The 24,995-nt window shown below is 39.7% G+C and overlaps 1 protein-coding gene and 1 long non-coding RNA gene across 8 annotated transcripts in view, besides 1 other annotated feature; one reads left to right on the top strand and one right to left on the bottom strand.

Annotated features, from left to right (window-relative positions):
- Window positions 1-24,995, bottom strand: part of NEMP2 (nuclear envelope integral membrane protein 2) — a 227,365-nt gene that overhangs the window by 152,265 nt on the left and 50,105 nt on the right. The window lies entirely within an intron of this gene.
- The window catches only part of NEMP2-DT (NEMP2 divergent transcript), a 104,691-nt gene that overhangs the window by 38,848 nt on the left and 40,848 nt on the right, over window positions 1-24,995 (top strand). Inside the window, exon 4 of one of the 4 annotated variants that reach the window (NR_183905.1) lies at window positions 2,315-3,591. The exons of the other annotated variants lie outside the window; for them this stretch is intronic. This is a non-coding gene — a long non-coding RNA (NEMP2 divergent transcript). Of the gene's footprint in view, window positions 1-2,314; window positions 3,592-24,995 lie in introns of those variants that run through there. 4 annotated transcript variants of the gene reach the window in all.
- Window positions 9,555-9,724: an enhancer, noted in NCBI's record as "active region_16861". NCBI's record gives its function as "activates an Ori minimal core promoter by ATAC-STARR-seq in GM12878 lymphoblastoid cells {active_cell/tissue: GM12878}" and the evidence as "EXISTENCE:reporter gene assay evidence [ECO:0000049][PMID:35858748]".

Genomic DNA, 24,995 nt, shown 5'->3' on the forward strand with positions numbered 1-24,995 from the left:
GAAACGTAACCTAGCCTACCCTGACTGCTGCAGGTTTTCTCAAGATTAATGAGATAATATGCATAAGATGTTGGACTAATGGTAGAGCATTTTTATGGGTCCTTTTGCAATAATATTAGGTTGGTGCAAAAGTAATTGTGGTTTTTGCCATTAGTTTCAGAGTTATTATTAATACAATTTATTCATTCAATGCCTTCCATATGCCAGGCATTTGTGTACATTATCACTAATCTTCAGAATAAATTTGAAATATTATAAAAACCTCCATTTTATAAGGGAGAAAAAACAAAGCTTGGAATGGTTAGCATTCTGCCAAATGTCATCCAGCTAGGAAGCTGCAGAGCTGGCTTTCAAACCTCATGCGTTTCTCCCCTCTTTCTCTTTTTTCCTTGTCTTTGGAAGTTTATGTCATTGTTTTATTTTATTGCTATTTACATCATTGTGTGAATTCCTTTGCAACATTTGTTTATGAAATTCACACTTATTCTTGCAACAAAACCTCTATTTTCTTAAATTTATTGCAAGATGAACAGAAATAAATTGAGTCAAAGGTACAGTAGCTTACAATTCAATCCCTTGCTCCAGAAAGTTCATGAACTCAAGCACCTTTTTCATTTTTCTTGGCTTGAATATGCCTGAAAGCAGTTAAGATATATGTGCTTATGAATGGAAAAAAAAAAGTGTTTCACAATTGGAGTGGAGTGAGTCAGGTTAGAATGAGCTAGATTCCATAAATTCTCAAGCCCTAATATTTACAGATTCTTTCTTAATGGATTTATTGAGATATAATTCATATACCATATGTCACCCATTTAAAGTATGTAATTTAATGACTTTTAATATATTCACAGAGTTGTGTATCCATCATCACAATTGATTATAGAATATTTTCATCATCTCAAAAAAAAGCCTATATCCCTCAACCAACACTCCCAAACCTTCTCATCACCTGACCTGTCCCCCAACCCTAGGTAGCTAATTACTTTCTTTCCCTTTCTTTCTTCCTTTTCTTTCTTTCTTTTTTCTTTCTCTTTCTTTCTTTCCTTTCTTTCTCTTCCTTTCTTTTCTATTTCCTTCCTTCCCTCCCTTCCCTCCTTCCCTCCCTTCCCTCCCTTCCCTCCCTTCCCTCCCTTCCCCCCTTTCTTTCCTTCCTTCTTTTTCTTTTCTTTTCTTTGCTTTTCTTTGCTTTCACAGAGTCTCACGCTGTCGCCCAGGCTGGAGTACAGTGGTGCGATCTCAGCTCACTACGATCTCCACCTCCTGGGTTCAAGCGATTCTCCTGCCTCAGCCTCCCAAGTAGCTGGGATTACAGGTGCCCACCACCATGCCCGGCTACTTTTTTTGTATTTTTAGTAGAGATGGGGTTTCACTATGTTGGCCAGGCTGGTCTCGAACTCCTGACCTTATGATCTGCCCGCCTCGCCCTCCCAAAGTGCTGGGATTACAGGTGTGAGCCACCGTGCCCAGCCGACTCTGTTTCTTTTTACAGGAGCTCCCAGAATGCCAGTTTCCCACCATCCCCAACAAGTGGTTCTTCCTCCCTCCCACTGCAGTCCCACTCCTAACTCTGCAAAGCTTTGCTCAATTATTTTTAATTCAAAGCTCAAATTCTAAAGTATCTGATATAATAGACTATTTTTTTCTAATTTTTTTTTTTACTTTGCTAAACTTAGAAATTCCTTGTAGTATAATACTAAAGGTTAAAAAAAAAGTGTGTTCTTTTTAAAGCTCTCATCTGTTCATGATCTGATTAGCCAGTTTGTGGCATTTTAAAAAAATCTTTTCCTCTCTTTCATTTTCTCTTTTGAGCCATTTCACAGCTTGTTAGTACTTCTGATAATATAAAGTAGTCAAATAGATGAGATTAAATTAAATTTGCTCTCACATACAACTCTGGGTTTTAAAGGATATTGCTTGAAGGAAAGGTAGGAGGCCGAGGCAGGCAGATCACTTGAGGTCAGGAGTTCAAGACCAGCCCGGCCAACATGGCGAAGCCTCGTCTCTACTAAAAAATACAAAAATTAGTTGGGCATGGTGGTGCACGCCTGTAATCCCAGCTACTTGGGAGGCTGAGGCAGGAGAGTCCCTTGAACCAGGGAGGCGGAGGTTGCAGTGAGCTGAGATTCTGTCACTGCACTTCAGCCTGGGTGACAAAGCAAGACTCCATCTCAACAAAAAAAAGAAAGAAAGAAAAAGAAAAAAAAAGAAATGAATGGTTAAAAAGAACATTACAGATCATCTGTGAATTTTAGTGACCTATATTCATGAGTACTGTGAAATGTTTCTGGTTTACTTTTTTTTTTTTTTGAGGCAGGGTCTCCCTCTGTCACCCAGGCTGGAATGCACAATCGTGGTTTACTGCAGCCTCAACCTCCTGGGCTCAAGTGATCTTAATACTTCAGCCTCCTGAGTAGCTGGGACCACAGGTGCACACCACCACACCTGGCTTATTTTAAAATTTTTTTTCTAGAGACAGGGTCTCGCTATGCTGCCCAAGCTAGTCTTGAATTTCTGGTCTCAAGCAATCCTTCTGCCTTAGCCTCCCAAAGTGCTGGGATTACAAAAGTGAGCCAGCATGCCCTGCCTGCATTACTTTTTGTAATGTTTATTGCCGTGGAAAATCACTGACAACTTGAATCAGGTTGTATTTGTTACTATGAGACTCTTAAATTATCTGAACCGTATGGTTGGAAACAATGATTTCTAGAACTAGCATCAGCTTTCAAGGTTTGTTGATGGAAGAGAGTACTTAAGCTAATAAATGTAACTTGTTAAATGAAACGGGAAACATCAAAATGCAGCTAAGCATTAAGAAAATGAAAGAGAAAAGTTTCCCTAGGAGAGAAGAAATTAATGAAATGTGTATCTTAATGTATCCCTGAAGATGGTATTTCTGCAACATACTGAATTGAGGGTGAATTTACTAGTTTATGGAGCGGGGTGGGGCGGGGGGGGATCTGGTTCTTTTCTCCACTTGTGCTGTGCTGACTTGTTTCGTATGTGTTTTGGATACATGTGGTGATAGCAACCTGTTAGTCTCTGGTAAAACCCAGTCCAAAGATATGTGAAGCCTGGACACGTGAGGCTGAATAAGGATGTCCTAGAGCCATGAAATACATTAACATTGTTGGGCAGTTATGGCAACGGAAAAACAGTGTTAATATAGGGAGTAAGTAGGCACTTTATAGGCAAAGAGGACATGCCTTTTCTGTATGCAACGAGCTTTGCAAATTCTAACTCCACCCTAATTATAACTGCCTTGTTCTCATGAAGTTCACTGTCAGCAACTGTTTATTCACCAGGTACAATATTATGCATAATACACTGGGCTGAGAACTGTGAGGGATACAATTTGGAAAGACAGGGCCCCTGGTCTTAAGATGCCATTGAAAAGCACAGACTGTGTTCGGGAATCAGTAAGTCCAGTGTGTAGATGACAGCGTTAGTGGGGAAAAATGGAATACAGAGTTGAAAGGTGTATTGGAGCCAGATTGTTAGGTTTTTGAATGCAAAATTTATATGTTAGGATGCTATTATTTGGAAAGTGGGGACTTACTCAATTTTTTTTAACATTAAAAGAAAATAATCAAATCTGTTTCTGGCTATTCACATTTTTTTGGTCCCATTGGTATCTTTTTTTAGATGGTACATTTTCAGTGAACAAAAACAGTATCTATTTCGCTTAATGTCCAGTGCAATGTCATAGATTATGTGTAATATTTAGGTTCACGTAAATAATGGCTGTTCTTAAAAATTCACATGTTCTTATTATGGAATGATTAAAGGACCCTCATTTTTCTTAATATTTATTTAGCTAAACTATCATCCTCCTCACCAAGGAATAACAAGAAAGCTGGGCAACTGTGGCAAATTATTTGCCCAAGAGGATCACTTTTAAACCCTAGTGAAGCTGGGAGCAGTGGCTCACACCTGTAATCCCAGCACTTTGGGAGGCTGAGGCGGGCAGATCACCTGAGGTCAGGAGTTCAAGACCGGCCTGGCCAACATAGTGAAACCCCACCTCTACTAAAAATACAAAAAGCCGGGTGTGATGGCGCATGCCTTTAGTCCCAGCTACTCAGGAGGCTGAGGCAGGAGAATCGCTTGAGCCTGGGAAGTGGAGGTTGCAGTGACCCGAGATTGCACCACTGCACTCCAGCCTGGGTGACAGAGTGAGACTCCATCTTAAAAACAAAAACAAAAACAAAAACAAAAAACTTAGTGAAGCTATCAGGTATTGGAGAGCATGGAAATGCTATAAACCAATACATTCTATATTTTATTGATACAGCATTTTTTCAATGTTTTGTCTACAGACAGATCCCAGGGGATTAACATATATTTAAATTACCTAACTTTCCAGTTGGACATAAACAATCTTATCCTTCTCTTTCATTGTCCTTTATATCTTCTGTGGGGTCTCCTGGGCTTGTGTAACTTGTCATAATGGACAGGATGTGAGGGATGCTACCACAGACAGACACCATATTGTAAATCTGAAGAATGGACAGAGGAAAACTTGCAACAGAATTAGAGGAAAGAAGAAATGATGGTGACTATTGCAAAGCCTGGAATGGTTCCCTTGGGAATTTAAGGAGGGAAAACAAGAGTTTCTGTAGTTTCCAGAAATAGAACTGCCTGCCAGCTTCCTTCCATCCTCCCTCTTAGCCTAGCTGCAGGAGAAGAACAGGCAGGCACATGCAGGCTGATGACTTTCCTGCTTGTGACAGCTCCAGATTACAAATGTGCAGAACAAGATTACAGTGCCAGCATTCCCAGGCCCAGGGAGCAAAGGCAGGTGGGCCGGGATGAGGTGAAGGAATATTAAAATAAAATAAAATAAGTACGGGTGATAATGAAAAGAAGAGGAAGTGTGGGGTAGTATATATGGTGTTAAGATGCTAGGAGAAGACTGAGGGCATGAGACAGAAAGCCCTGTACTGCCTGGGCGTGTATCTGAGAGATATGTGGGTGTGTTTGCAGAGGAAGTTGTGGGGGCATGTGTGTGTGCAGAATGTGTGTTAGGGAGGGGTTTTATTGGTATAGGAGTGGGAGGGTGTGTACAGCAGGGTGTGGAGTGCAGGGGTGGAGGGAAAAAAAAAGCGGAGGGAGGGAGGACTTTTATGGAGTGCCAGGAACACCCATTTCACAAAGGAAAATTGCCAGCTGCCAGCAAGTCAAATCTCCTTTGTGGGAACGGATCAGCTCCCCACAGTGGATTCTGGCCTCTGATCTGACCCCAGGATGTTTGCCAGATATTTGACCCCTGAAGGGAGGGACACAGTTTCTGGATTTTTACCACACCCTGATGCGTGCTCTTTCCCAGGGACTGATGTGTTTGCTTATATATTATCATAGTGTTGGTCACAGGGCAGCATTGTTTGGCAGACAGTCTAGTGAATAGAACTGTAAGTTAGAAATAAATACTTTCCAGTCTTGGTTTGTGTGTGTGTGTCCTTTTTGATGGCCTTTGAAACCCTACGATAGTACTTCTGTGCCTTGGTTCCCAATTTTTCTAGTAACAAGAAAGAAAACATCAGCTAGATAAGGAAATATAGTGTAGAATTAATAACTGCAATGAATACATAATTTTAAAGACACATGGGTGACAGATTTTAATCTAGTATGAGAAATAACTTCTACTAATTAGAATTGTTCAAAACTAGGAGAGGTTAGCATAAAATGTGATATGTGTCATATTATTCTACATATTCAAGTGGAGCGAAGATGACCAGTTGTAGGGTGTTTAGGGGGAATTCCAGCAGCAAATAACAGTATACTTAAGATGCCCGAAGAATTATGCAAAAACTCTGAGATGTTATGATTCTAGGACTATAGTGTGCTTAAGTAATACAGAATTATCTTGAATATTTAAGTGTTATAAATATGAAATAATCAATACACAAAATGACCAAGGAACAAAATGTCCACTGCATGATTAGCACCTTTATTGGGCAACCAAGATGTATGGCATATAAATGCAGAAATAACTTGGGGCCCAAGTCTTCCACAGTAACCCCAAAACAAACTAAATATAGAGAAAGAAGGCTATGTTGTGTAGCAGGGAAAAGTATTCAATAAAAACAGGCTGAAACTCTTATCAGTCGTTCCTGAATAGCCTCTATCTATTTCTATGAGAGATCCAGTCCAACTTAGTGGAGTACTGAAAGAATGCTAGAAGTGTTTTCTTCAGTGATTAAAAACTTTCAGATGTTTGTTGACCACCCAGTTCAGACATATCCCAGGTCTCCGTTTGAGAGATGGTAGAGGAGTCCTCAGAACTTCCTTAGCTTTCCAAAGGCTGTTAAGACTTCTCAACAGTCTTGTTGAGTCTTAGTGTTCTCATTCAGTCTAATGTACTTTGAATCACGTGGGGATCTATTAAAAAGTGATTCTGATTCAGTAGGCCTGGGGCGAGGCCTAAGATTCTGCACTTCTAAGAGAGGCTGATGATGCGTGTCCACAGGCCACTCACAGAAGCAAGGCTGTAGGTGAAAGCAGATAGGAAACTCTAGGTACCCTGGGCAAGGGCAGACAATGCATCAAGGGAATGAGATCAATACTACCCCATCCACAGAATCACAAAATTAAGAGTATAAAAGGAGAGAAGCCTTGTGATGCCATCTAAAAACCATCATTTGGCTCTTTAGTGGCGAATATAAGAGTTCTGTGTGGGCTGGACTGGAGTCTCCTTAGGGTGGTGATAATATGGTCTGTTAGGGTAAATGTCAGGGACTTCTTGGAAATTCCAGGTTCTGCTGTCAAGTAGATAAAGTTTGTTTTGGTCCCGTCTTCCCTGCTGATCTCACACTTCTTAAAACATGACTTTTCCTAAGAGGAAACTGTAATCTTTTCTTTAGGACAGACCTCAACAAATTGCCTTAATTTCCTCTACAGAATCAGATGGGAAGGAATTTAAGGTGTGGCCTTTCCCATGGAAGTCTTTAAGACTCCAAATTTTCAAGACACTACAGGATAAAGCTCTATCAGCAAAATGCCAAACTGTGACAGGTAGAAAAATATTGTGATGGGCGGGTTTGCTTAAATAGCTTTCTGATTCCTCCACAGACTGACATTACCCAGGATAACAGGAGTGGGGAGAAGTGTCAGTGTTGGGAAGGATTGTAAGAAGGGTCTCCATCTCATTCTAACTGATTAGAATTGAGAAGGTTGCAGGATTAAAATATTGGTGCAAAGGAAAGACATTTGAGGACATGGAGTAGCTAAGGTTGTTAACCATTCTCCAAACGCTTATTTATTTTACTTCAATGAATCAGAAATAATTGGATTCCACCCTGTTTCTCTTCTCAGAACAGATAGTAACTAATGTTGTACCATATATTTTAAACTATACTAAGAATATAAGAATTACTTGCTTCAACCATCCACAACTTAGCTCACCAGCAGTGTTGTCCATCTGGAACATAACTAAAAACCAGGAATTATGCAAAAAGTTCCCTGAGTAGGCAAAATAGATGTCATTTTAAATTCATGCACTAAAGCTCATAAGAGCTCAAGGTTTTAGTATTTATATAATCAACATTTCCCACTTAATGGCAGTAATCCATTACTGAAAATCAGATGTTCTACATTTTAAAAGCTGACCAGAAACTATTTCCCATTATTTGGAATGGAAAAAAATATAATGTGTTACACATCAGCTTTAAACCAACAAATTTCTTAAAAAGTAACTAAAACACAGAAAAGTGTGTATATGTAAGTAACGAACTACCATATTATTATGTAAAATGATCAAACCATGTTTGCTGATCATCTAAGGATTGATACAGTTAATAGCTACTTTATATGCTGTGATGTCTCTGTTAGTACCAGTGACAGAAAAACTTACCTTAGTTTATAATGTACACTTTTTAAAGTGCGTGCACATGATTCTGACATTCTACAAATTATATTTCTTTTCTTATGTATTGCTTTGTTAAAAATGTTCTATTGAGTTATAAATATGCAAATATACATTTTTTCCTATAAAAACATAGCCAAAAAATGATATGTTGAGAGATATATATGTTCTATGAAGTTGGGTATTAAAAACCAATAAATATTCTATGGGAAAAATGTTAACTGGGGAGATATTTGCAGTACATGTCTAGTGCCGTGCTGGAGCCCATTTATATTGGTTCCCAAGAGATGACTGTTAAAGTTTTAGGAATTTTGCAATTCCTAAAAAGTCATATTGGTAACTTGAAATTGGCCATGATGGGAGTATTTACACCACAAAAATAGGCAAATGCTATAAATCGGGGATTCCCTCCAACTCCCTGAAAGCTGGTAGTGCGGCATTTACCAGCATTCCACTGAGTGTTCCTATACTTTATCAAATGTAAGAGGTCATAGGTTGCTGGATGGACTGTATCATAGTAAGGATATGCTAGAGGTGTGTTATAATAAAAAATAACCTCCAAACACCAGTGGCTTACACAACAAAAGTTTATTTTATGCTGCAATGAGAGTCAATTGAGGCCTCTGTTCTACTTAGTCACTCGGGAACCATAAGCTGATAGAGGCTCCATTATCTCTATAAGAGGCTTCAGGGTTTACTGTGGTGTGAGCAAAGACATCTGGAATCAAGAGCTAGTTTTTCTATGCTTTGACCCACAAATAACATAATTCATTTTCCACCTGTATCCCTCTGGCCAGAACTCATCACATAGCTCAGCCTACCTATAAGAGCGCCGGGACACATGAGGGAACAGATGGAATATTGGGAGACCACTGATACTCCTTTTACATATACACCATTATTTTATATGCCTCTAAGGAATAAAAACCCACTATCAATTAAACTATGATGTAAGGCTTTCTTAGAATTAGATATTTGGACATAGACCTTAAAAAAATCATTTATCTCTTTTTTGCATACCAAAGAAGGTAAATTAATCAAAATAAATTAGTTGAAGTGTTCTTTAAAACTTCTGCACATTTGAAGAAGGTTGGCTTCTGATTCAGAGTTGCTGGTATGTGCTTTTCTACAGAGCATCAGACTCTGTACGAGCAAGAGCAGGGGTGAGGAAGCATTTCTTAAAAGAGTGCTCTGTGATAGTCTTTAAGACTTTTGTCTAAACCATGGTCACACAGTATGCAAGTTTTAATTCTGGAGCTTTATCGATCATATGAAGATGTTCGTGGAGGTTTTCTAACAATAACAGATCCTCACTTTTTCCTCAATTGGCCTCAGAAGTTCCATTGTTTACAGATTTGCAGCTGTCTGGTCAGGCCCTGACACTAACAGCCAAGTCACTACGTTTTCAGCAAGCTTGTTATTTAATGGACCAAGTTCTCATATAACTAAGAGGCAACTATCTCATGAATGCTGCTTGGCTAGATGTGATTGTGAGAAGTCATAGATTATAAGACCTATCCTGAAGTCAGAGATGTTGAAATGTAAAAATAGAGTGTGTTTTGGAATCTATTAAATGTCATACTTACCTAAGAGGAGCTTGAACTGAAATGCAGCCTTAACGATTTTTAAAAACTTGATGGGCAGAAGGAGAGAGGGCAACCTCTGTGATTTGAAAGTCATAGGTCTTTTTTTTTTTTTTTTAATCCCTAGAGATGACAGCTGGCAATCACTTTTAGGGAAGATTGTTCTTTCATTTTGAGAAAACAATCAGAATGAGTCATTTAGGTATTCAAACATAAATGAAGGCCTTGTTCTGAATTGGTGATTTTCAGCCAGGGTGACTCTGAGTGGCTAACATCTGTATTTTAACTCAACAGATTTTAAACGCCTGTTTTGTAATCTACAGGAATGTATCTCTGCATGTTGCGTCTTCCTTAGATAAATACTGATTGTCTTCAAAGTGTAAATTTGGATTATACTGGGACTTAAAGTATCACATATTCATTTGGAGATTTGTGTATATTCTTACTTAGAAGCAAAATCTGGCGATTTCATGTAGGATGTGCAGGCAAGATTTGCATCTCCTGCTATCAGACAGACCACACAGAAGAGCAGAACTGGACTTGGTAGAGCTCAACCAGGCCTGGACTGTCAATGTCTGAGAGCCACATCAGGTTGAATCATCTACAGTGTATTGATGTTGGACTGTTGTGTTTTCACGCATTGTCCTAATGGGTGCCATGGGACATGTTCATGGTTTTACTGGTCTTGTAATTTTAGGAAAAGTACTAAGATGCTGGTGCCAATAAATGATAAGTGAAGAAGTAGGCCATTCCCTCTTTGGCGCCTGGCCATGGATCTGTGCTTGGAGTTATGGATATCTTTGGCCTGCTTCCAAGTTTGGGTTGATAGGGATGGGAACTAAACAGGCATATCCCTATTGAGGACTGAGAGTGGGTTCCAGCCTCTCTGGGTTCAGGAGTAAGCTAGCAGTAGTAGTACAAAAATGTGCTTCCCCTCTGTTATTCCCCAGCCTTCAGTTAAACTTGTTAAAAGTGCAACTTTGTCTCTGGGGGCTAGAATGAAGTAAGCGAAGGTCTGTTTCACACTGAGATGACATGACAAAGTGGAAAGTAGAATGCTTTCCTCTGAGGTCAAAGAGGTAGGGTGGCAAATTAAGAGTGAAAGGTTTTTTTCTGCAATCACATTCACAATAGGGAATATGGAAGCCTGAAGAACATGGAAGACCAAAAATTTTCTTTGAAGCAAGCATAAACACTGAAAGAAATCAAAGGAAAAATCCACCATAGCTCCCTGGAACCAGGTCATGGTCAAATAGTGCCGCAAATCTCAGCTGATGTCCTGGGTCCTAAGAAATCACTTTCTCCTAAGAAATCATACTCAGTACAATTATGGGTGTTCATCATGATAGCTCCAAGTCCTCAAGAAAATGTTAAGTTTGTCAAACTTGTGTAAGAGCACATAAAAATTCATGCCACTGCTGAGAAAGACTTTTACACAATTTGTTAATATAAAGAAAATATGGCCAGGCATGGTGGCTCATGCTTATAATCCCAGCACTTTGGGAGGCCCAGGCAGGAGGATTACTTGAGGCCAGGAATTTAAGACCAGACTGGGAAACATAGCAAGGCCCTATCTTTGCAAAAAAAATTTTAAAAATTAGCTAAGTGTGGTGGCACACACCTGTGGTCTCAGCTACTTGGGAGGCTGAGGTGGGAGAATAGCTTGAGCCCAGTAGTTCAAGGTTACAGTGAGCTATGATTACACCACTGCTCTCCAGCCTAAGTGACAGAGTAAGACTCAATCCAACAAACAAACAAAAAACAACAATGAAAGAAAGAAAGAAAGAAAGAAAGAAAGAAAGAAAGAAAGAAAGAAAGAAAGAAAGAAAGAAAGAGACATAATGTACTAGCTTAACTTCCAGTCAGTTGGAAAGCTTGGTTACTGTAGATGTTGATATCCCTGAGAAACCTGGATAACCAGAGATTTGCTGTGTTCAGTCCATGGCACAGGCACTGCAGGACATTTTAAAGACAAACATGGTATTTTCCCTGAAAGCATTTGGAAACGTTCCCTGTGTGTTTCTAACAATGCTCTAGCAGCTCATATGAATCTAACAAGGATGAATTTATCTAAATCTTTCTTTATCCTATTTATATTTGTGGACTATGCAACATCTTGAGGATAATGAGTTCCATATGTTTACTACCCACTGTATAAAGTAATGCCATCTTTTATTTATCTTTAAACTACTTACATAGAATTTCAATGGGTGCCCCTGAATTTTAGCATTCCAGGATTTGAATATGTTCTCACTTTAGGGCTGCCTCTAGCCCATACAGGCCTCTATGCAGATAAGAAACAGCACCCACTCTGGGTGCTTAATTTAGAATGGGTGCTCCCTCTTTCGGACAGATACAGCCTTATGCCAGATGCATGGCTCAGTGAGAGGAGCATGGGCTAGATTTCAACCCCAGTCTAGTCCCCCACCCCCATGTCATGCCCTTGGCTAGGTGCCCTTGCAAAGTACAACTGGTACAGCCATATACAGCAGCCAGGCCTCACCATAGAGGTCCTACAAAGAGTATAGAGTTTTGGTCATATCCTCTCTCAGGTATCATCTCCCTAAAGGATCATAGTCTTTCTGTTGATTCCTAATTTCGATCCTATTGATCCTTCTCTGCCTTCCTCGAGATATGGGGCTCAGGCTGAGGAGCAGTCCAGGCACTCTGCATTCTCCTTGGGACCCTCTGGATCCAGCGACAGTCATCAGGCTGTTGGGCTCTAGGGCAGTTACAAAACAGGGGCCAGAGGAACCAGTCAATAATGGATTCCATTTGTAGAGCTTCAAACAAATAACCCAGAGAGGATCATCTTATAATCATAGCTTAGGTTAATGTCCCCTAGACACACCGTTTGCTTATTGCCCACACAGAGAGTTGTTGGAAACTTTTCTATCCCTTGTCTAAGCTTGGTGAGGTTTTTCTTCATTTTCTCTCCATCAGTTCAGAACTGTACCAACTGCCACCTATCAGAATTCGTTCTGTATTCCCCTTTCAAAAACATATTCAATGCCTAAATCATACAATAACTAGCAATAATATAAGGACAATACAACTTTTAAAAAATACTGAAGATCATGATTTTTTTAATAAAGTCTAACCCTATTCTTTTTAGATTCACTCACCCAGCACAGTGTCTGACATGTGATTGATACTCAATGATGAATGAATGGCTAAGTACCCCCGAAGTCAGTTTCGTTTTGGTTTTGTTTTTTGTTTATATATAAACAGTCTGTTGTAAACATTTGCAAGACCTGCATTCTCCTTGTTCTCTCAGTGATCACTGGAACTTGAGTGATACATGGATCATGTATTAGATCCTTTTAGCATGTTGAGTATAGCACTTAGTCATCTAGTGAAATTTAATGTGATTGTCTAACATTCTTTCATCTCAGATCTTTGTCCCCATATTTAAAATACATCAAGTATTTCTAAAACAAAACTTTCAGTTTTGGTTATATCAGTAGATAAAATGTTTACATATTTTTCTTCCTTCTACTATAGTAGAGATTTTCGGGGAGAGAAACATTCAATACCAACCCCAACTAAGAGGTTTTTATCCTAAGCACCATCTCTTCAATGAAGAATTCTGTTACTTCAAATTGTTTAGTTAAAAATGTTTTAAAATTTTATTAGAAAAAATTTTAAACACATAAAAATAGAGTTAAAAATAGTAAAAGGAACTAACAGATACCTATCATCCTGATTCAACAATTATCAATAGCGCTTGAATTTAATCTATTTAAAAAATATATGCCTTGACTTCTATTGTCCCTCCTGAGGTAGAAATTTTCGGGTTCTTTCTCCTCTTGTGAGAATTTTCATTTTCATCTCTTGTGGAAGGTTGAAAATTTATTTATGTAATCACATAAGTTCCCACCACTTCCATGTACATCGTACACACAATGATATGAGATGCTAATTCAATTCCCAGTCACCGGCTGTTCAAGTGCCACTCCCACATTGCTGCTAGATAATTCTCTGTCCTGATCGAGACACTTTTCTGTGGATCTCTCACATTTTTGCACACCCTGTGAGCAAAGCACCAACTTGCTCTTTCTTCCTGTAAAAGGATGTTTGTATAGTGAAGAGCCTTGAAAGCTGGAGCTAGTGTCTCTCTCTGGAGCAAAGGGCAGGCGTACTTACTGACCATTATAAAAGATTCAGTTTCCCTAAGCTCAGGTTCTCCTCCTGTAACCCAAGCTGCTGCAAGGGATGATGTCACCTGACCCTCTGTGCCACCTGTTGGAATTGGGACTTGAGGAACAAAGGCAAAAACACGGATACTCTGGCTATTGCTATTGATGTGAGTAATAAGCCATTCTTCATCGCTGATCTTGGAATCTTGGGTTTTCCATGAAACTATGGCAGGCTAATTTCTTGGTCTGCAAGTAGGGCAAAGGTCAGACTCTTCACAGTTCTTCACAGTTTGGTAATGATGGTGAGATGCTGACAAAGACATGGCTTTCTGGAAGAGGAAAGATGAGTAGTCCACAAGCCTATTAATAGGATTTGGGGACGTTCATAGGACTTAGTAGTGAATTGACCAAATTGTATGGCCAGCTGGGGAATAAATTGTCCTCTACTTTACTGCTATTGCTAGTGAGAAGGAATTGAGAAGGTAATTGTAGGAACTGCAGGTTGAGTATCAGGAAGTAGGCTCCGAAATAGTTGTTCAAATAGTGCGCTGCTTGTTGCTAACTTTGCTCTGGGTGAGGGAACTTCCTCACCAGCCGAGGGGTCAACCTCAAATTTCTCCCACTGTAACAGCCAGCACTAAGATTCCTCTCTTTCAGACAAGTTAGAGACACACATCTACACTGAGCATGAAAGGAGGAAAATCTACCTACCAGTGTGGGCAAAACCCAGACAAATCATTGGAACTTTGGCTGGTTAGCTTAGCAGATGAGGCTTTGGGTAAGTAAAGCTTATTAAGAAAAAATGGCAAAAGTTGGGCTTTTTTATAGCTCAAAACCTCCTGTAATCTCTAACGCAGATCTTAAATCCAGTTGGAGATGGCAGTAGAAAGTCTCAGACATTTTTGCAGTGGGACCTGGTGGCTAAAAGGGAACTTTGGCCTATTTTGGAAGATTTTCCTGAAAAAGAAAAACTCCTGTGGGGAACCAGAGATGAGGCATTGACTAGGATCCAGGCTTTCAATGGCCTAGATTATAAAATGTTGGTGGATGATAATGAGAAAATAATCTCTCAATCTTTCTGTCTCTTTCTCTTTCTTCCCCTGACCTAAGCTAGGTTAAGGAAAAATGATTAGAGATGGGGCCAAGGTCTTCCTGTCCTCAAGGGGAATGAAAGACCATACACATTCATCCCAGTATGGCGGGGAATCTTGGAGAGAGAATCAAACTTTTATGACTCTGTTGAATACAGAACCTACCTAGACCTGTGGGAGGAAAAGGCATGCAAATTCAGTTAGTGGGGTTAGGCAGGGTTCATAGTGGGGAAAGAAAGCTAGCCTGACCTTGTGGATGGGGTCCTTTGGGCCAATTCAATGTGCTGTTACTGCTGCTTCCACATCACAATGTAAGTAGGAATTGATGCTTGTACTTGCCTGTCCCATAACTGCCAGAAAAGAGATTATCCTAATTGAGAAGAGCTGTCCAAAGCCCTCATTATATAGATGACAGCTTGTTGATTGGCAAGTCAGAAGCCTCAGTTTAGTCACCCTTATCAGAGGTGGCTGATAAACTCTGACAAAATTCACGGGCCTGTTGACCAAGAAAAGTTTCTCAGTACTATGTGGTTGGATACATATCACTCAATTTCTTTCGTAGTCAAGGAAAAACTGCTCTCTTTTGATCCCTACTACCAAGTATTAGAGACAGTATGTACCTCACTAGAGAATTCTATTTGAATATCTTTATATGGGCTAACTTTCAAATCAGCATCTTCTGAGTGGGACCCAAATGAATAAGCTGCATTGGAAGCTATCCTGCAAGTTATAACACACTCTGTACTTTGGGGCCCCATCACCCTAATGACCCTTCTGGACTACAAGTCTCTCTGACTGATGATTTTGTTGACTGGAGCCTCTAGCAAAAGGAGGTCATTTCTACCCAGAGATTCCCCCTTGAGGTTTTAGACTCATCACCTCCCTGATGCAGCTACCAGGAATGCCCCTTTTGAAAAAGTGGCTATTAGCTTGCTATGTGCTCTTGTCAACACTGAGTGCCTGACCCTTGGAAGCCTTGTGCCTTTCTGACGTGATATTCCTATTTTGGGGTGAGTCTTTTGGATTCAATGACTGACAAGTGGGGAAGGACCCAATAAGCTTCACTAGTCAAATGTGATGAAAATGTCACATTTAAGAACACAACCAGCATGACTTCAGTAGCATCTAGGCTTTACCAGTAAGATTGGTACCTATTGCTTTGGGGGAATACTCTATCCACACTGCCAACTGAAGCAATGTCACTGGTTCTACAAGGTCTTCAATTCACAGCAGTTTCCCTAGAATCCTGGGCCTGGTTGGTTCAATTAAGCCAAAACCTGGTGGTATTCACTGGGCTGCTGTGGCTGTTCAACCTCAGTGTCAGCAACACAAAACCAAAAATGAAGGAGGTTGCTCCACTCCATGGACAGAACTCAAGCTGTTCTCATGGCTCTGGCCAATGCTATCCTTGAAGAACCCTGTTATATTTTTTACTGATTCGAGCCATTGCCAATGGCCTACCTGTTTGGTCTGCCACTTAGAAACTAAAGACTGGCCAATTCAAATACCCCTATTTAGGGCTGCAAACTGTGGAGATAAATTGTGGCTGCTGAAGGAATTGTCTGGATGAAGCCTATGACAAGAATCCAGTCTCTGATAGAGTACCAGGACTCAGGTTGCTGATTAAGCCTGTTCTGCCCAGATTGCCATCATTGCTGCCTGGGTCCATCACCATAATGGACAAGGAAACACATCCATGGTCACAGACTGGGCACAAAGTAAAGGTCTCTATGCTCCTGATGCAGATGCTATGACTGCATGCCAGACTTGGAACTTCTGCCAAAAGTTGCAACAAAGGGAGGACACATCACATTGGGCATTGACCCACCTGCAATGGCAGATTGACATTTGACTTTTGATTCCCTCTCACGACAGTCCATGGGACCTCACTGCTGTGGACTCTTTTCCAGATTATGGTGTTTTTGTTCCAGTTGATCATCCAATTCTGGCCACACCATTATGGCATTTGAAACTAATCCATGCCATGTTTTGGGCTGTCTAAATGATCTGAAGTCTGACACTAGTGTGCCTTTTATCACAAAAGTCATTCAACAGTGTGCTGATGTTGAAGTTATTTGATGAACCTTCCATGCTCGTCAACTGAGCCATCTGTGGGCATCTGGTATTGTGGAACATTGGAATGGTCTCCTCATTAACATCTCCTATTCTTCTTCCCTCACCTTCTCCTGATCAACACACCTTAGTAAGACAATTGATCATTCAATGCCAGTCTTACTGGGAAGGGATCATTTACTCTCAGTTGCTTCCTGAGTAATGATTAGGAGCAAAGAGGTGAGAGTTATATAGACTTATTTTAAAAATTCAGGACTCTGCCCAAATATTCCTGGGCATGATGTTTTTATTTTTCTCCTAATGGCAACTCCAAGCCAGTCTGGTTGGTTCATCTGCTAACTGTTGTGAGTAATAAAGCCTTTTGTCTTAACCAGATTCTTATTCTTATTTCCTTATTTCTTCTACCAGAATTCATAAAACTATGGCAGGCTAACTTGTTAGCTTGCAAGTAGGGTAAAATATCAGATCTTCATAGTTCTTGGCTATATTCCCACAATGAAGAACAGCCTGGATTATAAAACATGTACAGCACACAGCTGTACAGAATGAGGCTTGCTTTTTACCTTTCTGCCTAGTGTGCCCAAACTGACAGTGATAACTTTGTGACATATGCTCTTATGGACTCAGCAAGATCATACTAAGAACATTTTGACAAAAAAAGGAAATAAGTAGGATTCAGGCACTATTTGTTCCCCCCTTGTATTGCCATGCAGGGGGAGAAATTTTGTGTTTTCTTTGCCAGTTGCCATCATACTTAGAGGGTCCAGGGTGTGATGACTTATAGGAGAGTGTGCCACTTAATGACCCTTCCTCAGTGGTGACAATGTGTACAACAAAGAAACTAATTACAGTAAAGATTGTCTGCAGCTCAAATCAGAGTTGCCTAATTGAGTCTAATATCATTGCTGATAGCTATGAATATGTTCAAAGAATTTGTTGTGAAAGCACCTCTCATGTTTACTATTGTGATTCCACCTCCATGCAATGAGATTACAGTTCAGAAGGTTCCTAGTACTGTAGGGATAATGCTAGCTTGCTCTGCGTGTGTGTGCGTGTGTGTGTGTGCTGCCCTTCAGAACCTTTTCATGCACTCAAACTCAGGTAAAGTAAAAGAGCTGTTTTCTCATTTGTTAACAAAGGTTTCTGTGGTCACTATAAAGCATGACTTCCAAAAGTGATTATTCATACTAGTCAATATGTGACAGTTCTGATATACAGTTTTTCACATGTCTTCACACACATGCGATAGCTACTGCTCATGGAAACCTTGTGAGGATTAGGGCCTGGAGACTAAAGAAAGCCCACAGACAGACCTGAAAATTGCCATGGCCAGCAGGCCAGCAACTGGACATAACACATTATTGTTGTTAGGGAATCTGTGGATGATTCAATAAGCATTTGTTGAGTGTCTACTATTTGCAGGTATTTTACTGGACACTAAGATACACAGATGCTAAAATGTTTGCCCATGAAAAACTAGCAGGCTAGTGGGGGCAATCATAAATAGGCCTATAAACCAAGAACTACAAAATGTTAAATGGGAATATGGAGGAGGAAATGATTAATTCTTCTTGCAATTAAAAAAGAAAATTGAGAATGCAAAGTGCTTTTGGGGTCCTCTACTGTGTTTAAGAGTGTTGCATATAGTCCTGTATTCTATGCACTGTGAGGCTCAGACCCCTCCCCCAGAGGTGCAGGGGGGAAAAGTAAGCTTTGGAGACACATAGCTCTGGGCTTGAATTTCAGCTCTGCCATTAACAATGACCTGGTTATGTAACTGCCAAGTTTAACCTCTGTTGAAATCCAGTTTAACCGTTGAAATGGTATCACCTCACTGAGTTATGGAAATCAAAGGAGATAACCAATCTAAAGTGTATGTATAGTAGTTCCATAAATGTTGTTCTCCCTTCTCTACACTTCACTCTCATCCCTACATTGAATGATGTAGAAAAGTCAAGTCATCTGTTTACTGGGAATAATCACCTGATTGCTCTTTAAGGGGATGCAAGGCAGATCTGAGTATTTTGGAATGTGAAAGCCAAATAATTGACTGAGTACAGGAAATAAAGAAACTAAGGGTAATAACAACAACACTTTTTGCTGGGGGCTTTACATATATTCTCTTTTTTTATCTTCACAAAAACTTCATAAGGGAGATAGTGTTTTCCCCATATTTGATGATAATTTCCTTACCTACTATAATATTTTGTATGGCTTCATTCATTTTATGTTGTGTATGTTACCCTCCAAAACCTAGAGACAGGCTCTTTTTTGTTAGAAAGGCTCCCAAATTTCAGTATACTGCAACCAGATGAGAATAGTTGGCTGTATCCACCCAATACAGATGGAGCAATAAAGCCTAGCATAAATGTGCTTGATTGATTTAGAGCTTGGTATATTTTCCACATTTGTATAGTGAAGACATACTTCTGTATTAAGAGTAATTAATTCAAAATGTAAAATTTCTTAAAAATAACTGGTATAGAAAATAAATCTGTTATCTTTTAGTTTCTTTTTCACAAACTTAATGTTATTCAGAGTTCACGATCAGACTGTTCCTCTATTACTCATCCTGAGTCTTAGCTGAGGGTCAGAACTCTCCCAAGGCTTGGGTATGGCCATAAGGCTCCTGACAAAATTAGTATCAAAATAGTTTTTCTCTCAATTGGCTATGTCTTATGCTATCTCAGGCAAAAGGACATTGAAAAGAAGACTTTTTTTGCTTATGTTTGTAAAACTCCCGATCAGCCGCAAAGGCATCTGCCATGCCCTAGCTTCTCTGCTTAGATGCTTCTGTTGGCTTTCCCATATTACTTAGTGTACATAAGAAGTGATTCTAACCAAAAGATCCCAGAATACAGCATGACTTGAAAAAGAAAGTTCATTTTATCATGTGATACAGATTGAAGGTGAGCAATGGAGGCCAGCCAGAGGGCTCTGTCCCATGCGGTCATTCAGAAAAGCAGGTGCCTCTATCTTCTTCACCATGCCCCAGGGTATTTTTCTGGTTAAAGTTGGGTTGATGCCATGTCTGAGTTCCAGCCTGAGGGAAGAGTGAAGAGTCTTCTCTCTTGTGGTTGTGTCCCTCAGGAGATGACCAAGAAGCTGCATACATTACTTGTCTTCATTTCCCAATGGTCTGTGCTTAGGCATAAGATCATTCCTTTATAACCAAATGGCCATGTGTCTAGCTAGAACTCAGAGAGTTCTAGTACAAAAGTCAGGAAAGAATGGACACTGAGAGATAGTAATCTCAGCCACTCCCTCTAAGACAAAAGTTGAAACAGAACTGTTGCTATATAATGGAAGATTGGAACTTCCCCCACCCTTGCTTTTTTGTTCCCAGTTGGGAGGTATTTTTCCAATTTTAAAGTTTTTAATATTTCTCTCCCACTATCATCCTTCTTACATGGTAGCTTCTAGCTGTGACCTCAACAGCTTCCCAACTGGCATCCTGCCTATACTCTTGTTTCCCCAAAATCTACTGTTAACTCAGAAGCCAGTGGGATCTTTATTAAATGTAAACTAGGCAACATCACTTCTCCACCTGTAACTCACCAATGACTTCTCATGTGATGAGAATCAAACTAAACTCATTGCCGTGGCCTGAAGGCTGCCCTATTGGCTCTGCTTACTTCTCTTCCTTCTCTGCTCTCTGCCACTGTCTTTCGTTTGTTTGTCATTGCTTTTGTTCCCTGAATATAGTGAGCTTGAACTCATCTTGGGTCTTTCCCTCTTGCTATCCCTTTTACTCGAGGTCCTATCTTCACAAAGTTGCCTTCTTCTAATATTCAGGCCTCAACCCCAAGGTAACCTCTTCAGCAAGGACTTCTCATAGCTACCATAACTAAAGCAGCCACACACCCACCCCCGTCACCATCCATGATGTTACCCAAAAGTATCTCCTTTAAAACATACATCATGATCATTATTATTATTTGGTTTACATGTCTATAGTATAGAAACATGTCTTGTTTGACCCTCTATCTAGAACTCCCAGCAACTCTAAACACATTATAGGCACTTGGTGAATATCTGTTAATGGAAAGGTTTGATCTCTGTAAAATGGCAAAACTATTTATCTAACAGCCATTAGCACAGGGCCTTGCACATGGTAGGTATTCAAAAAATATTTATATTTTAATGGTTTTTTTCTTTTTAGAGATAGTATCTTTCTCTATTGCTCAGGCTGGAGGGCAGTGGTGTGATCACAGCTCCTTGAACTCCTGGGCTCAAGAGAGCCTCCAGCCTCAGACTCCTGAGTAGCTGGGACTACAGGCGTGTGCCAGTACACCCGGCTAATAAACGTTTATTGAACGAATAGAGTTAGCTGCAAATCCCAGTAAATCAGAGGGACAAGGAGTACCATCTGAGAAGTCTTTACATAAACATTTTGTGCTTAATTACTACTTTTTCTGAATATTAAAGTAAATAAGCTGTGTAAAAAATACAGAGAGGTATAAAGAAAAGTTCCACTTCCAAATAAAAATACAAATGTATTAACATCTTGGTAAGTATTTATATAGACTTATTTCCTATATGCATCCACACATACAATTTTTAAAAATTGGTATCATATCATATATGCAGTTTAAACAGAAAGCTTGCCGAGTACACTCGCCAAGAAATAATGCTTATTTTAAAGTATGGAGATGTACATTAAAATAAATTAGGTTGTCATCTGATCTTTGACAAGCCTGACAAAAACAAGAAATGGGGGAAAGGATTCCCTATTTAATAAATGGTGTTGGGAACACTGGCTAGCCATATGCAGAAAACTGAAAATGGACCCCTTCCTTACACCTTATACAAAAATTAACTCAAGATGGATTAAAGACTTAAATGTAAAACCTAAAACCATAAAAACCCTAGAAGAAAACCTAGGCAATACCATTCAGGACATAGGCATGGGCAAAGACTTCATGACTAAAACACTAAAAGCAATGGCAACAAAAGCCCAAATTGACAAATGGGATCTAATTAAACTAAAGAGCTTCTGCACAGCAAAAGAAACTATCATCAGAGTGAACAGGCAACATACAGAGTGGGAAAAAATTTTTGTAATCTATCCATCTGACAAAGGGCTAATATTCAGAATCTAAAAAGAACTTAAACAAATTTACAAGAAAAAAACAACCCCATCAAAAAGTGTGCGAAGGATATAAACAGATACTTCTTGAAAGAAGACATTTATGTGGCCAACAAACATGAAAAAAAGCTCATCATCACTGGTCATTAGAGAAACGCAAATCAAAACCACAACGAGATACCATCTCACACCAGTTAGAATGGTGATCATTAAAAAGTCAGGAAACAACAGATGCTGGAGAGGATGTGGAGAAATAGGAACGCTTTTACACTGTTGATGGAAGTGTAAATTAGTTCAACCACTGTGGAAGACAGTGTGGCGATTCCTCAAGGACCTATAACCAGAAATATCATTTGAACCAGCAATCTCATTAGTGGGTATAAACCCAAAGGATTATAAATCATTCTACTATAAAGACACATGCACACATATGTTTACTGCAGCACTGTTCACAATAGCAAATACTTGGAACCAACCCAAATGTCCATCAATGATAGACTAGATAAAGAAAATGTGGCACATATACACCATGGAATACTATGCAGCCATAAAAAAGGATGAGTTCATGTCTTTTGTAGGGACATGAATGAAGCTGGAAACCATCATTCTCAGCAAACTGACACAGGACAAGAAAACCAAACGCTGCATGTTATCACTCATAAGTGGGAGTTGAACAATGAGAACACATGGACACAGGGAAGGGAACATCACACATTGGGGCCTGTCAGGGAGTCAGGGGCTAGGGGAGGGATAGCATTAGGAGAAATACCTAATGTAGATGACAGGTTGACGGGTGCAGCAAACCACCATGGCACGTGTATACCTATGTAACAAATCTGCATCTTCTGCACATGCATCCCAGAACTTAAAGTATAATAATAATTTAAAAATTAGGTTGTATGCACCACCACTTACATATTTTAGGTGGTGATTATAGCACAGAATAAGGTTTGCATGGACATATCTATCAGCAGCTGGACCTGTGCCCCATGTCAGGGGCCCTCTGCAGAGCAGGGGAAAATGAATTCTCTAGAAAAGTTTGTCAAGTCTGTGATGCTACTTATTTTTACTTAGATCTAAATCTTCTTTCTTCCCATAGAAAAACATTGGTCGCTTGTCTTTTCATCTCTTCTAGCAAAGGTTGGTGAATATTATTGGAAGGAAACTATCAAGATACATATTTTTACCTTTACTATAAATTTGTGTATAATTCAACTCTTCTGATGAAATTGTATGGTGATGTCAGGGGTGCTGCTGTCTCTGGGTAGTAAGAGAAAACAACTAGATTTGGAAATCTGGTATACAAATGCATATAAATATACAAATGACATTTATACATCCCAACATACTCATTCACCCATGAATATATATATTTGGCATCAAGTCACTAAGCATAAAAATGTTGTGGGTGTTTACAACTTTTTAAAAAGGATTATTTGCATTTTCTTTTAAGTTTTCTGGACAGGCACAGTGGCTCACACGTGTATCCCAGCACTTTGGGAAGCTGAGGCAGGGAGATAGCTTGAGCCCAGGAGTTCAGGACTAGCCCGGGCAACATAGGGGCACCCCACCTCTACAAAAAAATTTTTCTAATTAGTTGGGTGTGGTGGTGTGCTCCTGTGGTCCTAGCTACTGAGCAGGCTGAAGTAAGAGGATCGCTTGGGCCCTGGGGAGTTGAGGCTGCAGTGAGCCATGATCATGTCACTGCACGCCAGCCTGGGAAACAGCAAGACTCTGTCTCCAAAAAAAAAAAAAGCTTTCTAATTTCTAAAATAGACTGTGTGAAGAGTTAGGAATTTGGGCTAAGAGATAAAGGGGAGAAAAAAAAAGCCCTGGGAAAAGAATTGGAAAAGTCTGAGTATAAATATAGTTTTTGTACTTTTGGCTGAAGTCTCTTAGAGCTTGTGAATAATAAAGACTACATTACTATCCACAAAATAACTTTCTTGGAAAAAAAATGTTACCTGAAAATTACTTGCTGTGTTGATGAGGGCCTGGAGAATGAGAAGACAAAAAGAGCATCTAACTGAAAGGGGTAGTAGAAAGAATGTCCGTGTAGCAATCAATGTTAAAATGTACAGTAAAAACTTCCAGGACAGAATAAAAACCAAACTGATGGAGGTGCCCAACACAGTAGTTGCGAATCCCAGGCTAAGGCACAGCCACAGTTCTAAAACCTTGGAATAAAAGAAACAGTGCCTCTGATTATTTATCACGATGCTTTCTTCAGAACTTTTATTTGAGGAGATGGGGTGAGCAAAGAATTAAAAAAAAAACAACTCTGAGCATTCTTTGCTCATCCAATTTGAAAGTGGAATTTCTCTACTGGAACTGCTGATTTGTAAGGCCACCAGTTTACATGGGTTTCAAAGGGCTTTAAGAGTTCAGTTATGAAAATATTCTACTTGTTTATGTTCCAATACCATACACACACCTATCCCATTTATACCTCTAGGCTAGTGTTTCTCAGTCTCTGAACTATTGATATTTGGGGACAGATTCCTCTTCATTGTCTTCTTCGTTGTGGGGCCATCCTGTGTATTGTAGGATGTTCAGCAGCATCCCTGACTCCACCAACTAGATGCCGGTAGCACCTTCCCTCTCTCCCTACCGACAACCCCCATAGGACAAACAAAAACATTTCCAGACATTGCCAAATGTTTCCTGGGGAGGGGAGAGCAAAATCACCCCTGGTTGAAAACCACTGTTTAAGGCTGAGATGAAGACCTTTAGTGAGAGGGAAGAGAAGACTCTTGGGAGAATAAGGAAAATGAGGGCTTCCTCCAGAATTCAGATATTTATTCTCCAAATTCTTCTACTTATGGAAGTTACTCAAAGATGCTTACAAGTGTTTTTAGGAAATTGATCTTATTCCAAGGCAAGCCAATATTACAAATATTATTTTAAACTGTAACTTATAATTGCTTTTCTACACTTCTTAATGGATATAAGCCTTTGTCTTAAAGAATGCTATTGATTCATTCATTGTTTTCATAACTTGTGGCGCTGCCAGCCTTCCACTTGGAATGGCATCAAGTCGTGTTTTGCTTTCATCCCCAAAACTTTGCAAACTACTTTGAGGCATTGCTGAAAATACATTTTAGTGGAATAAGTTAGGCTTTACTGCGATTCTCAAATTTAAGAACCCATTTTATCTAC

The sequence above is a fragment of the Homo sapiens genome, chromosome 2, assembly GCF_000001405.40.
Source record: "Homo sapiens chromosome 2, GRCh38.p14 Primary Assembly".
In the NCBI taxonomy this organism is placed as follows: Eukaryota; Metazoa; Chordata; class Mammalia; order Primates; family Hominidae; genus Homo; species Homo sapiens.